Below are 17,251 nucleotides of genomic sequence, written 5' to 3'. Positions count from 1 at the left end.
GCTGAGGTAAGGCCATGGAGGACCTCATCTCCCATGTCAAGGGGTATATACTAAATCCTGTACCCAGCGGGAATACTGTGGGTTGAATTCTGTCTCCCAAACCAGATGTGTTGAAGTCCTAACCCCCAGTTCCTCAGAATATGACTTTATTTGGAAATAGGGTAGTTGTAGAGGTAATTAGTTAAGTTATGAGGAGGGTAGGCCCTTGACCCAATATGATTGGTATCTTTAAAAGAAGAGACGAGGGCCAGGCATGGTGGCTCACGCCTGTAATCCCAGCACTTTGGGAGGCCAAGGCAGGCGGATCACCTGAGATCAGGAGTGCGAGACCAGCCTGACTAACATGGTGAAACCCCGTCTCTACTAAAAATACAAAAAAATTAGCCAGGCCCGTTGGTGGGCACCTGTAATCCCAGCTACTTGGGAGGCTGAGGCAGGAGAATCACTTGAACCTGGGAGGCAGAGGTTGCAGTGAGCCGAGATCACGCCATTGCATATTGCACTCCAGCTGGGCGACAAGAGTGAAACCCCATCTCAAAAAAAAAAAAGAAGAAGAAGAGGAAGAAGAAGAAGAAAGAAGAAGGAGAGGGAGAAGGAGAAGAAGAGACGAGACACAAACACCCTGGGAGAAGATGGTCATGTGCTAACGAGTGAGAGAACGGAGTGATGCCTCTATAAGCTGAGGAGTTTCCACGATGGCTGGCAACCACTACAAGCTAGAAGAGACAAGGAAAGATTCTTCCCTATGGGTCTCAGAGGGAGAATGGCCCTGAGGACACCTTGATTTCAAGCTTCCAGCCTCCAGAACCAGGAGCAAATACATTTCTATTGTGAAAGCTGCCCAGTCTGTGGTATTCTGTTGCGACAGCCCTAAGAAACTAGTAAGAGGGACACTTTGGAAAGATCACTTTGTCCCCAGCATGGAGAAGTAATTAGAGGTAGCTGAGCCCCAAGGTGAGCATAAGGACATAGCTCCAAGGGAGGGAAAGAAAACCTGGTATCAGGAAGTAAGCAGGATACCAGGGAGAACTGGAGAGTCACAGGTGGGGGCAGTGGGAAGGGAAAGAAGGCAAACTGAATAACACTTTATAGAAACCAAAGGCTTTAGTAACAAGCTACTCCAGAGACATATAAGCCATGGCCACAGGGTTGTTCTTCGTTCCATTTTGATCAGAGTGAAGAGACTGAGAATTTTTCATAGGAATTTCCAGTGGGTATCAAAGCTTGACCCCCTACGCTGTCTACAATTTACCAAGCCAGGGGTAATTAAAGGACAGGAAAACAAACACCTCAGGTCCGCAAGACACCTAAGATTTAAAGACATTTAGTTGAATTACATGAAGTGTATTCTGTGTCGCTGTAACTAAATCAGTTAACCAAAACTTTTCATGAGTTGGTAGATCCCATCCTCTGAGGATCTGGAACAGAAGGAATGTGTCCTACACAATATGCCCATCACACACGCTGCCTGACAGAGAGCACCGCTTTGGCCCTCAGCAAGAAGCAGTGCTGGGCAGGAGCACAGGGCTCCGGTCTAGGTGGCGGCACACTTCCATTAACTGTCCTTTCTGCATCTGTAGGATGGGGGTACGTGCCCCACCATCTCAAGGGATGGTTGGGAGGATCTTGGGAGGTTGAAAAATAATGATGGCAGCCATAAAAAAGAACACAATTCTCTCCTTTGCAGCCACATGGATGCAGCTGGAAGCCATCATCCCAAGTGAAATAACTCAGAAACAGAAAATCAAATACTGCATGTTCTCACTTATAAGTGGGAGCTAAAGAATGGGTACCCATGGACATAAAGATGGAAATAACAGACACTAGGGACTCCAAAAGGGGGGAGGGTGGGAGGAGGGCTCAGGGTTGAAAAATTACCTATTAGGTACAGCGTTCACTATGTGGGTGATGGATTTATGAGAAGCCCAAACCTAACCATTATGCTATGCATCCACGTAACAAAGCTGCATACGTACCCATGGAATCTGAAATTAAAATGATAATAATAATAAAACCATAAAATGAATTTTAAAAAACCAATATATGTGAAATCTTTGGATACCCTTAAAGCAATAGCCTCAGAATGGTTACGGGAGGGTGGGGAGAGGATGTGGCTCAGAAGGCAGCTGCTAGAACTAAACGCTGTAACTGAGGTAAATCCAATAGCGTGTGTCCATCTGGCATCCCAGGCTGCTCCATTACCAGACCAGTAGTATTAAAAACAGGCAAGTAGGCCAGGTACGGTGGCTCACATCTGTAATCCCAGCACTTTGGGAGGCCGAGGGTGGCAGATCACCTGAGGTTAGGAGTTCAAGACCAGCCTGGCCAACATGGTGAAACCCCCACTCTACCAAAAAAAAAAAAAAATTAGCCAGGCATGGTGGCACATGCCTGTGGTCCCAGCTACTTGGGAGGCTGAGGCAGGAGAATCGCTTGAACCTGGGAGGCAGAGATTGCAGTGAGCTGAGATCGCGCCACTGCACTCCAGCCTGGGTGAGAGAGCAAGACTCCGTCTAAAAAAAAATAAAAATGAAAAATGAAATAAAAAAAAACCAGGGAAGTGGGTAAAGCCCTCACATAATGTAATATCACCTCCAACATGAGCAAAAGAAGAAAAGAATCTAACGCCATTTTTAGCCTGGAGAAACCCAAAGTTTATTATTATCACGTAGAATACCAAGATAAAGCAGTTATCTTAGAAAAATCTTACTTTGGGGTTTCTGATGCACATGTAAATACTGAGTAATAAAAACGTAAAGAAATAACAAAGAAAAAAAGCAAAACAATAATTATCACCATTAGTGTAAAATTTGTCACCTACCATATTAAAGGATAAAGTGCTAGGGTCTGTGTCTTCCACTGGTTCCTTTACCATATGATCTGTAAAAAGAACAAAAACAAACAAATAGAGCGGGTTTGCTTTAATTTAAAACCACAAATGAGTCCTTTGATAACTGTCTCTATACAGAGGCAAGTAATTTTACTTAGGCTGAAGAAAACCTTACTCCTTTTTTTTTTTTTTTTTTTAAGAAATAGGATTGGCTGGGTGAGGTAGCTCATGCTGTAATCCCAGCACTTTGGAAGGCCAAGGCGGGTGGATCACTTGAGGTCAGGAGTTCGAGACCAGCCTGGTCAACATGGTAAAACCCTGTCTCTACTAAAAAATAAAATAAAATAAAAATAAAAATTAGGTGGGCGCCTGTAATCCCAGCTACCCAGGAGGCTGAGGGAGGAGAATCGCTTGAGCCCAGGAGTCGGAGGTTGCAGTGAGCCAACACAGTGCCACTGCACTCCAGCCTGGGAGACAGAGTGAGACTCCATCTCAAAAAAAGAAAGAAAGAAAGAAAAAAGAAATAGGGTTTGCTCTGTAGCCCAGGCTGGAGTACACTCAGTGGCACAATCATAGCTCACTACAACCTTGAGCTTCCGGCCTCAAGCGATCCTCCCACCTCAGCCTCCCAAAGCACTGGGATTACAGGCATGAGACACCGCACCTGGCCTGAAAGTCTTACTTCCAATTATTAGTTGAGACAAAATAAAGAGGAACAGATTCAGATTGCATCAAGAAATAGATTAATAAAAAGAAACTATAGGCCAGACGCAGTGGCTCACGCCTGTAATCCCAGCACTTTGGGAGGCCAAGCCGGGCAGATCACCTGAGGTCAGGAGTTCAAGATCAGCCTGGTCCAACATAGGGAAACCCCATCTCTACTAAAAATACAAAAATTAGCCTCGCATAGTGGTGCACACCTGTAGTCCCAGCTACTCAGGAGGCTGAGGCAGAAGAATAGCTTGAACCTGGGAGGTGGAGGTTGCAGTGAGCTGAGATCACACCACTGCCCTCCAGCCTGGGTGACAGAGCAAAACTCCATCTCAAAAAAATAAATTAATTAATTAAAAATATAAAAAGTAACTACATAAAAAACCCCACCATATTTTGGAACAGGTTACCTATAAATATCTTCAAATACCCAGAGTTACAAACAACCACAAACTATGCAGGCATCACATTAATGACTCTCTTGCCTACTGAATTTGACACTACCTTCGGCAGGAATGACTCCATTCTGAATCTACTTCTTTCCTGATTTCCTATTTTGCTGCAACTCATTTTTCTTAATCTTCTGAATGTTGTTTATGTGGACTAATAAAGAAAAAACCATAGTTTTTTATCAAAAATAATCTTGATTTCTCAATATTTTGTTTCTGATACTTTATCACTTGATGCATTGAAGGAATTTAAAGGGGAAATACGGAAAAAGGCACAGACCTCAGTCAGGACCTAATTAGTACAAATTAGAAAAGTTTCCCATCTCCAAAATGCTTTATAAGACATCTGCCAGAGAGCTGTCTCAGTAAATAATCAAATCTTTTTGCGTGGGATCCTCCAGATTTGTGCAGTGAACGACCTGCAGTACCCTAAGTGGCAGTCGTGGGTCCGCCAAGAGTCAGCATTCACTTTTGATCCAAATCCTCATTAAGTACATATTGCAGACTAGGAATTAGGTCCTGGGAATGCCTTTGGGGATCCAAATAAGCACAGCAGGACAATTTGTCAAGATAATAATTTGTGTGTGTTCTTCCTAGGTGTTTCCCAGCTGAGAATGTGTCTGAACTTTCCACAGTTTCTTTGCCCTGCAGGTGTTGATAATGCCCAAAGAAGTTTCGAGAAGGCAACATCTCTTTGTTTTATGCAGCCTCCAGTCACTGAAGAGAAATGGGGACGAATGGAGAGAGCCTTTGCCATTGCCTCCCATGGAGCAGGATACAGACATCTGCAGAGCATGAAGGTGGCAAGACTGCATCAGAGACAGCACAGAGCAGCCTAACCCCCGGGGACCGCGGCCCAGCACCAGCAAAGAGACCTGTGCCCTGTGTCCAGCACAGAAACAGAGGGCTGCTGGGTCTCAAGGGACTTCTCAGGCCAGGACCATAAGACAGCAATGCCTCCCTGATGCACTACAAATTTGAGGTCCTTTCCTAGTTTTTCCCAGCACCACATGAACCCCTCAGATTCCTGTGTGGCCCTAAGGGACAGAGCCCCAGTTCTGACTGAAGTGGAATTTCCTGCCAGTCCAGTGCAATACACACTCAGATTTGGATTTAAATGGATAGAAAGAAAATGAAAAACAAATTGTGTTGCTAATGCCTCCCTGAGATGGCAGAACTCTTACTGCCCAAGCAACAAGTAATGATACAGAGCCCTTAGTGCTAAGGCAGTGGCAGTGCAGGACAACCAGGGGACACCCAGACCCAGCACTCGCAGCCTGGGGAGCTCCCGGAGAGAGGAGGGGTGGGAGAAGAGCCTGCAGAGGGCCTGAGGGCTGAGTCTGGAAGGATGAGTTGACATGGTAGCGAGGGAAAAGCATTCTAGGCAGAGGGAATAGCACAGCCACAGAGAAGAGAGAGAACATGACACATTAACGTACAGTCACAGGACAGATCATGTATATGATGGTGGTCCCATAAAGATTAGACCACCATCTTCTCACCATACCTTTTCCATGTTGAGATATGTTTAGACACACAAATAGCACTGTGTTACAGCCGCCTGCTGTATTCAGGGTGGTCCCATGCTGGGCAGGTGTGTAGTCCTGGAGCAATGGGCTGTACCAAACAGCCCAGGAGTGTTGTAGGTTACACCATCTAGGTTTGTGTAAGTGAACTCTATGACGCTCACCAACTACGAAACCATGTAGTGATGCATGTCTCACAGTGTATCCCTGTTGTTAAGTGACATATGACGATGCTTCAGATGAGTCCTTACAGCCGGACACACGTGCATTCGGTTTTCCAGTTTTTCCTTCCCATCCTTCTCACACGCTGGTTCCTAGCTGGGGAGGGGGTGGTAGAAGCCACCACAAAATAGCCCGAAGTCCCTTCTCCCTCCTCCTATCACAGCCTAGTCTCACATATTTCATCTTCACTACAGGGTACCTGGAGGATACGGCTTAAAAATGCCATCCTGCCAGGAGTGTGGCTTGTTAATAGCATCAACACAGTGAAATTTCAGGTAAATGGGTTTGGAGTGTGGAGCCAGGGGTGGGGTGAGGCTGGGGGCTTTAAATGCTCTGACACCATCCTCTGCAAACAATGCCCGCTGCGTCCAGGACAAGTTAATCCTGCTTCCTACAGGAAAATTAGAATGAGCAGAAAAAAAAAAGGAAAGAGAAAGAAAGAAAGAAAGAAAGAAAGAAAGAAAGAAAGAAAGAAAGAAAGAAGGAAGGAAGGAAGGAAGGAAGGAAGGAAGGAAGGAAGGAAGGAAGGAAGGAAAGGAAGGAAGGAAAGAAAGAAAGAAAAAGAAAAGAAAGAAAGAAAGAAAGAAAGAAAGAAAGAAAGAAAGAAAGAAAGAAAGAAAGAAAGAAAGAAAAAGAAAGGAAGGAGAGGAAAATGCAGTAGATCGCTGGGAAAGGCAGAGCCACAAAAAAAGCATCATTGAGGACACACACAGGACAGTTAAAAGCAAGGAAGGACCGGTCCTCAGTGGCACATCACTAAGAGCTAGCAGTCTGGCCTTAAACAAGTCTAGAGCTGTGGCCTTGGACAAGCCTAGAGGTGTGACCTTGGAGAAGTCACGTAAGCTTTCTAAGCCTCGGGCTCTTCCTCTGCACCATGAGGAGTTCCAGGTCTCCGGATCCCACACTCAGCTTACTACCATTATTCTGGATTTGGGAACCACCTGGGTGGGTGAATTTCAATCAACACTCCTCAGACTCTGACCGAGTTCTGTGAGATCCCAGGGCTTGTGTTGGAGGGTTATGAGGCCAACAAGATAGAGACAGAAGACATCACAGGTTTATAGGCACAAAGTCTCTTGCTTCGGTCTGACATCTCAGAATAAATGGAACTTAAGATGAGAAAGACACAGAGAATTTAGGTTTTTTTGTTTTCTGAAGCACAACAATGAAGTGAGAGGGGAACTGGGAAAGGCACTACTTTTAGAACAGGTGTTAGAGGCATTTTCAGGTCTTTTTTTAAAAATTAATTACTTAATTTTTTTTTGAGATGGAGTCTCACTCTGTCGCCCAGGCTGGAGTGCAGTGGCGTGATCTCGGCTCACTCCAATCTCCGCCTCCTGAGTTCAAGCGTTTCTCCTGCCTCAGCATCCTGAGTAGCTGGGATTACAGGTGCCCACCACTATGCCCGATTTGTTTTTGCATTTTTAGTAGAGATGGGGTTTCCCCATGTTGGACCAGGATGGTCTCAAACTCCTGACTTCAGATGATCCACCCACCTCAGCCTCCCAAAGTGCTGGGATTACAGGTGTGAGCCACCGCGCCAGACATTTTTTTTGAGACGGCGTCTCACAGTGTCACCCAGGCTGGAGTGCCGCGATGTGATCACCGCTTACTGCAGCCTCAACCTCCCAAGCACAAGCGATCCTCCCACCTCAGCCTCCCAAGTAGCTGGGACCACAGACATGCGTCACCATGCCCAGCTAATGTATGGGGGATTTTGTTTCTGTTTTTTGTAGAGACGGGGTCTCGCTATATTGCCCAGGCTAGTCAGGTCTTTTATGATTTTTCTGATTGCGGTTCTGACTTTATCAGCCTTTGCCTTATATCAAGCTGTGGATTAAGTTCTTACATACATGTTACTGCCAAATACACTCATTGACCCAGGCCCACGGTGGCGCCCATGCACTGTATCTGAAACTGCACCTTCTCCCTGGCCTTTATTTTAGATCCTGGCAGACTCCTTTTGTTCTCACAGGTCCAGATGTGAGTGTGTACCAGGGAAGTTATTTGGAGGAGAGCAGATCCTGGTTATTTGAGACTGATTCAGAAGTGGAAAGCTGCCCTAAGGTCTTTCTTAGGAACTTGGAGTTGCATGTTTACGATACTATTAAGTGTAAAATCAAATCGTTTATCTAGAAGCTTTAAAATGTTTGTTTTTCCCAGCCCCCGCCTAACAGCAGGCTGAGCCTTCAGGCAAGGCTCTGATATCTAATAGGACGGGCAGAGGAGCAGAGGAGAAGCGGGGCCACGTGAGCCCATCGGAGACAAGGCCAGTGGTTTCGCCAGGGCCGGTGCGGGATCTGTCCTCTGCTCATGGCTGCCATCTTATGCCAGGCTGTGCTTTTCTGCCAAAGCTGCCTGGGCTCCCCCAGGTCGGTGACTCTGCACAAGGCTCAGATCACCTCAAATTAGCTGGTAACTGACTGCTGGGGATATCTCTGCCGGCAGTGAGAATGAGGTGTAACTCCCTCAAGCATATTCTGGAAAGTTCCTCAAAAGGCATGAGAGAAACCTGGTGAACTGATGCATCAGGGCTGGCGAGGGCACCTGGCCTGGCTCACAGAGGCTGCGGGTGAGAGCAGGCAGGGCGGGCTGCACCCTCATTTTCTTTCTGTGGGTCCTAAATCCCCAACTTAAATCTCAGGAGGTGAACAGAGCACCTCTGCATCCCCTTCCTGCTTTAAAAGTCCGTGAGTGGTGAGTAGTAGTATCCACATGGGTCAAAGAGCACCTCCAAGCTGAAAGTTCACAATTAAACTTTCAAAGCTCTAGGCTGGGCGTGGTGGCTCACACCTGTAATCCCAGCACTTTGGGAGGCCGAGGCAGGCGGATCACGAGGTCAGGAGATCGAGACCATCCTGGCTAACGTGGTGAAACCCCGTCTCTACTAAAAATACAAAAAATTAGCCGGGCATGGTGGCGGGCACCTGTAGTCCCAGCTACTCAGGAGGCTGAGGCAGGAGAATGGTGTGAGCCCGGAAGGCGGAGGTTGCAGTGAGTCGAGATCACGCCACTGCACTCCAGCCTGGTCGACAGAGCGAGACTCCTTCTCAAAAAAAGAAAAAAGAAAAGAAAAAAGCTTTCAAAGCTCTCACTTAGAAAAGTTCGAACAGGTGGCTCACGCCCGTAATCCCAGCACTTTGGGAGGCCAAGGCGGGTGGATCACTTGAAGTCAGAAGTTCGAGACCAGCCTGGCCAACATGGTGAAACCCCATCTCTACTAAAAATACAAAAATTAGCCAGGCGTGGTGGCACATGCTTGTAATCCCAGCTACTGGGGACACTGAGGCAGGAGAATCGCTTGAACCCAGGAGGCGGAGATTTCGGTGAGCCAAGATCTCAACACTGCACTCCAGCCTGGTAAACAGAGCAAGACTCTGTCTCAAAAAAAAAAGAAAAGACAAGACAAGTTTGAAAAGTTTAAAAGCTTCCCTAGCGTCTGCTCTGCATGGCATGGCTTACACACAGTCTCAGCTAAGCCTTCCAGTAACCCTGAGGAAGGCATTAGGCATCCCCTTTTTCACACATTGAGTATCCAAGATCACAGGGTAAGAGGTAAGTGGAAAAGCCAGAACTTGTATCTGGGACTTTCTGGCTTCATAATCTGCCTGTTTTCCAGTATAATCAGGTTCTAGAAGTGCCTCATGGCCAGGTGTGGTGGCTGACATCTGTAGTCCCAGCACTTTGGGAAGCCAAGGTGGGAGGATTGCTTGAGTTCAGGATGTTTGAGAACAGCCTGGGCAACACAGTGAGACCTCATTTCTACTTATTTAAAATAATAAAAAATAAAATAAAAATTTTGAGACAGGGTTTCACTCTCTCACCCAGGCTGGAGTGCAGTGGCTTAATCACAGCTCACTGCAGCCTCCACCTCCTGGGCTCAAGCAATCCTTCCACCTCCTCTTGAGTAGCTAGGACTAAAGACATGTGCTGTCACATCTGGCTAATTTATTTTTATTTTTGTAGAGATGGGGGTCTCACTATGTTACCCAGGCTGGTTTCAAACTCCTGAACCCACCTTGGCTTCCCAAAATGCTGGGATTACAGGCACAAGCCACCACGCCTGGCCAATAAAATAAAATTTAAAATAGAAGTGGGCTGGGCACAGTGGCTCACATCTGTAATCCCAGTATTTTGGGAGGCCGAGGCGGGCAGATCACCTGAGGTCAGGAGTTTGAGACCAGCCTGACCAATATGGGAAAACCCCATCTCTATTAAAAATAAAAAAATTAACTGGGCACGGTGATGGATGCCTGTAATCTCAGCTACTCAGGAAGCTGAAGCAGGAGAATCGCTTGAACCCGGGAGGTGGAGGTTGCAGTGAGCCGAGACAGCACCACTGCACTCCAGCCTGGGCAACAAGAGCGAAACTTGGTCTCAAAATAAAATAGAAGTGGTTCATACACTGACCACCCGACAGACTCTCTTGAGAAGGTGAGTGTCTGTGTGTCCCATTTCCCCTTTTTATATGGGCACCAATCATATTGGTTTAGAGCCCACTCTGATGATTTCATTTTGAATTGGTTACCTCTGGAAAGACTCTGTTTCCGAAGAAAGTTACATTCTGAGGTACTAGGAATTCCAACTTCAACATATCTTTTTAGAGGGGCACAATTCAACCCGTAACAGTTCACACTCTGCCCCCTGCCCATCCTTTCCACATGCAGAATCTATTTGCCTCCTCCCGACATCCCCAAAAGCGTTAATCATTCCAGCATCCACTCTAAATCCTAAATCTCATCTACTCTTCTTCAACTCAAAGACTCAAATCCCATCATCTACCAAATCAGAGCCTCTTCAGGAATGCTGGGAAACACGTACTGTATGCAACAGCCTCTCCAGAAAGAATCCTCAGCACATAACCCGAAACAGACACTGGTGGGGCGGCCGAGGACTGCACTGCCGCATTCTGACATCAGATAGCGGTGAATGCTTCCTAGAGACGGTTTCTCAAAGGAAGTTCAAACATCTCTAAAGATGTCCTTTCAGAGAAAACAAGGAAGTATGTCAGGACTTCCTGGCCTTCCCAAGCATCCTGAGCCAGAAAAGTGCAGTCACTGTGCTTTCTAGTGAAGAATTACAGGCAATTATTTGAATGTGTGATTGCAGGATTAATTTCTTTCTCATTTGTTATTTGTGTGTTGTTTTGTACCATAGCTTTTTTTTTTTTATTTGAGACAGTCTTGTTCTGTCGCCCAGGCTGTAGTGCAGCAGTGTGATCTCAGCTCACTGCAACCTCTGCCTCCTGGGTTCAAGTGATTCTCCCACCTCAGCCTCCCATATAGCTGAGATCACAGGTGCCCAGCTAATTTTTGTATTTTTATTAGACATGGGGTTTCGCCATGTTGGCCAGCCTGGTTCTTGAACTCCTGACCTCAGGTGATCCACCTCCCTCGGCCTCCTAAAGTGCTGGGGATTATAGGCGTGAGCCACCGCTCCCAGCCCATAACTTTTCTTTTGACTGCTATTGTCATTATTGGATATAAAAAAGGCTTGGAGGTGGGGTGTGGTGGCTCACTCCTATAATCCCAGCACTTTGGGAGGCCAAGGAGGGCAGATTGCTTGAGTTCAGGAGATTACTTGGGCAATATGGCGAGACCCCATCTCTACTAAAAATACAAAAAAAAAAAAAAAAAATAGCCGGGTGTGGTGGTACAAGCCTGTGGCCCCAGCTACTCAGGAGGCTGAGGTGGGAGGATTGCTTGAGCCCAGGAGATGGAAGTTGCAATGAGCCAAGATCGTGTCATTGCACTCCAGCCTGAGTGCAGAGCGAGACAGAAAAAACAAAAGGAAGTTTTTCTGGAGTCCTGAGACATATTCAGGATTCCAGAAGCTCTCAGAGCTGCAGGGGTGCTGCTGCGTGGTGGTGCTGACACTGTTTCATTGAGCTTCCTCTGTCTTTTCAGCACCTCACCCTGACCTCGGCTACTCTGTCAACCTCAGACCCCGCAGCAGGGGCTGAACAAGCTGGGAAAGGGGCAAGGATCACAGAAGTACATCCCTACAGCAACCTCTCTGGAGGGCAGCCGAGCATTAAGTGTGTCAGCCAGGCTACTGACGGGGGATCAAACAGAAGAGGGCAGGGGAGGATGAGGGAAGACAGCAAACAAAGAGATAAAGCTCAGGGAAAATGCTTGGGTAGAGAGAAGGAAACTCACAAAGCAGAGGCGTTGTAAGAAAGGAAGAGAAATGAAGTGAGCATTGGGAAAACCCACGTGGAGGAGAAAGAGAAAGGGCAGAAGGAGCAGAGAAGGGAAAACCACAGATTGCCATCCCTCTCTTTGGTGTATCTGCAGAAAGAATTGGCTGGTCCAGCTTTGCACATATGAGTGCTCCAGGAAGTGGTTTATCCTTTAGTCCTGGGTACTGCGCCCAATGCCACAGGAGGGTAGGTTGCCACCTTGGACCCATTGAAGCCCACAGGAGGGGCAGTGAGAGGTGAATGCCACCACTGGGGCTGTCCTGAGTTGGTGGCCCAGGCCCAGGGTTCCCCCAGGAAACAGCCCTGCGGTGTGGAGTCTCAGAACAAAGGGAGAATGTGCTCTTTTGCAATGCTCTGTGGCCGTCGGCACTTGCCTTACTGCAACGAAGCAAGGAATTGTGCCACCTTTGACCCAGACCTTCAAAGCCCGGTTGTTTGTTTCTGTCTGTAAAATCTATCTGTATGAACAATCATGAACAAACAGATTTTACAAACATTTGACAGACAAATCTGGCTCATCCATTGTGAGACTGTTTCTCAGTGGGAGAGACACAGGGTGATAGCTACACTATAACCACCATCATTGTTTTCCTTCCATGTGACTGTGACAGTCTTGTGAATTTTCTCAATGTAAAAAGTCACTTAAAATTAACTCATGGCCAGGGTGTGGCCAGGGCGTGGTGGCTCATGCCTGTAATCCCAGCACTTTGGGAAGCTGAAGCAGTCAGATCACTTGAGGTCAGTGGTTCCAGGCCAGCCTGGCCAACATGGTGAAACCCCGTCTCTACTAAAAAAGAAATACAAAAATTAGCCAGGGGTGGTGGCACACCCCTGTAATCCGAGCTACTTGGGAGGCTAAGGCAGGAGAATTGCTTGAACCCAGGAGGTGGAGGTCACCGTGAGCCAAGATCGCATCATTGCACTCCAGCCTGGGCAACAGAGTGAGATTCTGTCTCAAAAAAATTAATAAATAAATAAATACAATTAACTCATAATATACTATAATCATATACATACTTTTGTTATATGCACGTGGATATACAAACATCTTACTTTAACTTTACAAAGAAAACTTAGTTAATACGGCTAACTCGATGAGTAAGTTCCTAAAATGCCAATACGGGAAGAGCTTTTTCTCCCCCCAACTCTTTAAAGAGCCTGTGGTTAAATTTTATAACCTTCCTTCATTCACTGAGGTGGTATTTGCCCAGGGCTTACTATGTGCGGAGTACTATGCTGAGTGTTAGGGAGAGCTACCACACAGACATGACCTCTGTCCACGAGTTTATTTCCTACTGGAAATAGCCACGGTGGCCAAATAATCACAGCTAGAAATTGTGACAGGTGCCAGAAAGGAAAGGTACAGGGTTTGCTGAGCATGTATAACATCGGGCTGGATCCCGGTGACCTATGAGCTGAAATCTGGAGGTTAAGTAGAAGGAAACGGGTGGGTGGAGGATGGGGTGAGGGCTGGAATGCAGGGGTCCTTCCAGGCCGCAGGAACAAAGTTTGCAAAGGCCAGGAGGCACGAGGGTGCAAGAGGCTTCAAGGAAATGAAAGGAGGCAGCACGGCTGCGTGCAGAGAGCAGGGGTCAAGCTAGGTGTCAGGTGAGGCAAGTGAAGGAACAGGTAGGGATTGATTGCACAGAGTGTGTAAGCCTCAAGGACTGAGGATCTGTCGGAGTGTTGGAAAGCCAGCACCGGATTCAAAGCCAGCACAGACAAATGGCAGAATCCGATTTGTTTTTAAAAGACGACTGGCTGGGCACAGTGGTTCACACCAGTAATCCCAGCACTCTGGGAGGCCGAGGTGGGTGGATCACTTGAGGTCAGGAGTTCGAGACCAGCCTAAAAATACAAAAAATTAGCCAGGTGTGGTAGTGTGCACCTGTAATACCAGTTACTTGGGAGGCTGAGACAGGAGAATCTCTTGAACCCGGGAGGCGGAGGTTGCAGTGAGTGGGGATCACGCCACTGCACTCCAGCCTGGGTGACAGAGTGAGACTCCATCTTGAAAAATAATAATAATAAAAATAAAATAAAAGATGGCCCTGGCAACCTTTTGCAGAATAGGTTACCAGAAGGCAAGAGTGGGTGTGAAAACCTACGTTGGAATGGTGTGAAAACACCAGGCGGGAGAAGAGTGTGGGAAATCAGGCGAGAGAGTATGGTCACTTGGTCTGGGGTAAAGCGAGCTCAAGATATGGGCACCATCTATGGTTTCATTACAGAAATAGGAGTAAGGGGATGTCTCCTGTGGGTTGCAGAAACGAAACAATATGTTAGGAAGGGGAAATTGGGGTGTGTGTGTGCGCCTGTGTTTAAATGGAGGAGCGCTCATTTTATAGACAGAATAGAGTCCCAGAGCGGGAATGGACATTTGGATCATCTTTCAGATGGTCAAGTATGTTCTTCAGCATCCTCTGCCAACTGGTGGGGAGCTCTCACCCTTAGGAGGCCTCCTTTCTCTTTGTAGGAAGCCCAAATCCATCTCTCTCTAAAGTTTTCACCGACAGGTTTGGGTTCTACCTCTTGAAGTCAAAGAGACAGATTCTTTCCACATGACGCCCTCTTATCATCATATCCTCTGTCCTCTCACTCCTCCACATGTCCTGGGATTTTGAAATCCCTTTGTTCCATGTTGCCCATTTGTTCCAGGTTGTGCACATCCATTTTGGCTGGGCTGGGCAGACTAAGAACACCATCTTGGGAAATCTGGAACCTGTAGCTTTTTATTTATTTATTTATTTATTTTGAGATACAGGTTTTTGCTCTGTCACCCAGGCTGGAGTGCAGTGGCTTACTGCAGCCTCGACCTCCTGGACTCAAGCAATCCTCCTGCCTCAGCCCCCCGAGTAGCTGGGACTATAGGTATGCACTGGCACATTTGGCTAATTTTTCTATTTTTTGTAGAGTCAGGGTCTCACTATGTTGCCAAGGCTGATCTCAAACTCCTGGCCTGAAGCAATCCTCTTGCCTCAGCCTCCCAAAGTGCTGGCATTACAGGCCTGAGCCACTGCACCCAGCCACTGAGCTTTTTACACACTGTGGTCACTGCTGAGCTGTTTCCCAGCCCCCATCTTGCCTGGTACTGTCGATTTAGGGGAGCCCAAGTAGATTTTACATTTTATCTCCATGCAGTGTATCTCTCTCAAGATCTTTTTGAATTCCCCCACCCCCCACCCCTGCAATCATCATTTAATGAGATCTGAGGCCACTAGTAGTAAAATCCAGCCTAAAACACCCCTTGGCACCTTGTCAATTCAGTTCTCAGAAAAGGAGGTGGATGCTAGGGTAGGAGTGGAGTGGGATGGGGCAGTAGGAGGGTTTCTCCCTTTGTTTCCCCTTCTGTTTTTTCAAACAATAGGTATGGGGATGGGGAAGAATATCTAGACAATGTATTTATTTTCCGCATCCAATTGATAAAATGTTTAACAATCCCCACTTAAAAAAAAAAAAGGTAGATCTTTCTTTGAAGTTTCCAAGAAACGCCCCCAAACCCAGCCATCACAATGCCAACTTAGTTGTTGGGTGTAGTCTTCTGACCACCTGCAGACACACTGTCTCCTTTTGACTGCTGAAGCCACAATTTAAGGATGGAACATTCAAACTCGGCCCCTGCCCAAGCTCAAGAAATGAAATAGGAAACGCGTTTATCTAAACGGTTATATCAGGTTCTGTGTAACTCTCTTCAGTGTTTCCAACCTCAACAAAACCAAGTAAAGCCCCAGTGTACTCTGAGGGATAGATCATTCATTCGTGTGTTCAAGAAACACCCACGGATGTCACCGTCTAGGTTATAGGACAGCGGAGAGAGAGAACTCCAGGAAAGCGAGGTCTGGGACGGATTTTAGATTCACGTGAGAGAATAGAGAAAAATCTCCACTCCGACCTCGGGTACCAACACACAATATTTTAAAATAAAGACAGAACTAGAGGCCATTCTAATCACAGATGGGATCCCACAGGTGGGATCCGCCTCTCGATTCTGCGGATACTATCTGATGAAATAGCTCCGAGGGCCAATGTTTAGACAGACAAAACCATTTCATCAAAGTGCAATGGGAGAGAGGAAGAGGAGTAATGAGAAGGCATGTGAGCGGGGAGAAAGAAAAAGCCCGGGAGGCGAAAACGAAATCCACCCCCTTGCGCCCATTTCTGCCAGAGGTTTGCAGGACGTGTCTCAACCTGGCATCCCGAGTCCAGAACAAAAGCCACGGGGGCTGCGGCATGGGCAGGGGGAAGGCGCGCGGTGGCTGACGCGGGGCAGGGGCCCTGGCGAGCGCGGGAGGGGCGGTCAGCAGCCGCTCGCGGGGCTGGACTGGGAGCCCCGTGCGACTCCGGGTCTGGCGCCTGGGTCGGGGGTGGTTCCCGGGCCTCCCTCGGGGGTCGCCGAGGCCCGGCCTCGATAGCCCTGCGGCTGCTGCGAGCGCCTCCCGAGCTCCCGCCCCGCGGTGCTCGCTCCAGGAGCGGGCGCGGCGCTGTGTCCCTTTACCTGCGCGCAGAGGGTCGTCCGGTGAAGCCATGGCGGCGGGTTAGGGGCAAACGAGCGTCCGAGCGGGGCTGGCAGGCCTCCGGGGCGCGGGAGGACCGTGGGACCACGGGGATGAAAAGTCCTGCGGTTCCGACGCGCCTGGAGCAAACCGTGGCTCTGCGCGCCCCTGCCCTCCTCCGCCTTCCCCTCCCTTCTTCTTCTCCTCCTTCGCTTCTTCCACGAGCTCACTTCCTGCTTTGGCAATTAGCAAAGCCCCTTCGCTGCGCGTCCCTCGGTACCTCCCTCCAGAGGCGCGGGGCGGGAGCCGGGGTGCCGCGACCCGGGGCTGGGACGCAAGGCGGGGCCCCGAGTGTCCCGGGCGTCCCCAGCGCCCAGAGCGCGCGTCCTGCCCGGTACCCACGTCCCCCTGGGCGGGTCCTAGCGGGGGGCTGACACGACTGCCGCCCGGGACAGACTGCGAGCGAAGGACTGGCCTTAAGAAACGGCTGCAGTCGCGGGTCGCTTTCCTGGCTCCCTACTCACGCCCTCAGCTGAGACACCAGAACTCCCCTTACACAGGCCTGGGCTGAGATGCCCGCCGGCGATCTGATATTTAGACAAATTTCCTGATCTTTAAGCAGGCTCTGCCGCTGCATGATGGCACACGCTGGTACTTTCTATTTTGATTTTTCTTTGGCATTAGTTACTACATGACCTCCAGGGTGAGTGCTGCAGAAAAGGAGTGAACAGAAGTCGCCCAATACACACTCACAGCTTCTCTAGAAAAAACAGCTTCGGGTTCTCTCAGAAAAGATGGCTTCAAATATTTAAAATATT

At 48.1% G+C, this 17,251-nt stretch overlaps 1 protein-coding gene across 3 annotated transcripts in view, besides 2 other annotated features; it reads right to left on the bottom strand.

Moving 5' to 3' along the window:
* Positions 1–17,251, bottom strand: part of EDARADD (EDAR associated via death domain) — a 136,672-nt gene that overhangs the window by 72,835 nt on the left and 46,586 nt on the right. For 2 of the 3 annotated variants that reach the window (NM_001422628.1, NM_145861.4), the window contains one exon: positions 2,822–2,880. In NM_001422628.1, the coding sequence (NP_001409557.1) occupies positions 2,822–2,875 (54 nt within the window). In that variant the 5' untranslated portion in view covers positions 2,876–2,880. Of the gene's footprint in view, positions 1–2,821; positions 2,881–16,435; positions 16,684–17,251 lie in introns of those variants that run through there. The other variant, NM_080738.5, reaches the window with a different exon arrangement.
* Positions 16,529–16,938: a silencer, noted in NCBI's record as "silent region_2002". NCBI's record gives its function as "represses an Ori minimal core promoter by ATAC-STARR-seq in GM12878 lymphoblastoid cells {active_cell/tissue: GM12878}" and the evidence as "EXISTENCE:reporter gene assay evidence [ECO:0000049][PMID:35858748]".
* Positions 17,139–17,188: an enhancer, noted in NCBI's record as "active region_2823". NCBI's record gives its function as "activates an Ori minimal core promoter by ATAC-STARR-seq in GM12878 lymphoblastoid cells {active_cell/tissue: GM12878}" and the evidence as "EXISTENCE:reporter gene assay evidence [ECO:0000049][PMID:35858748]".

This window comes from Homo sapiens, chromosome 1 (genome assembly GCF_000001405.40).
Source record: "Homo sapiens chromosome 1, GRCh38.p14 Primary Assembly".
Classification (NCBI taxonomy): Eukaryota; Metazoa; Chordata; class Mammalia; order Primates; family Hominidae; genus Homo; species Homo sapiens.
Note: the sequence above shows the minus strand (reverse complement) of the source record. Positions and strands in the feature narration are given on the sequence as shown.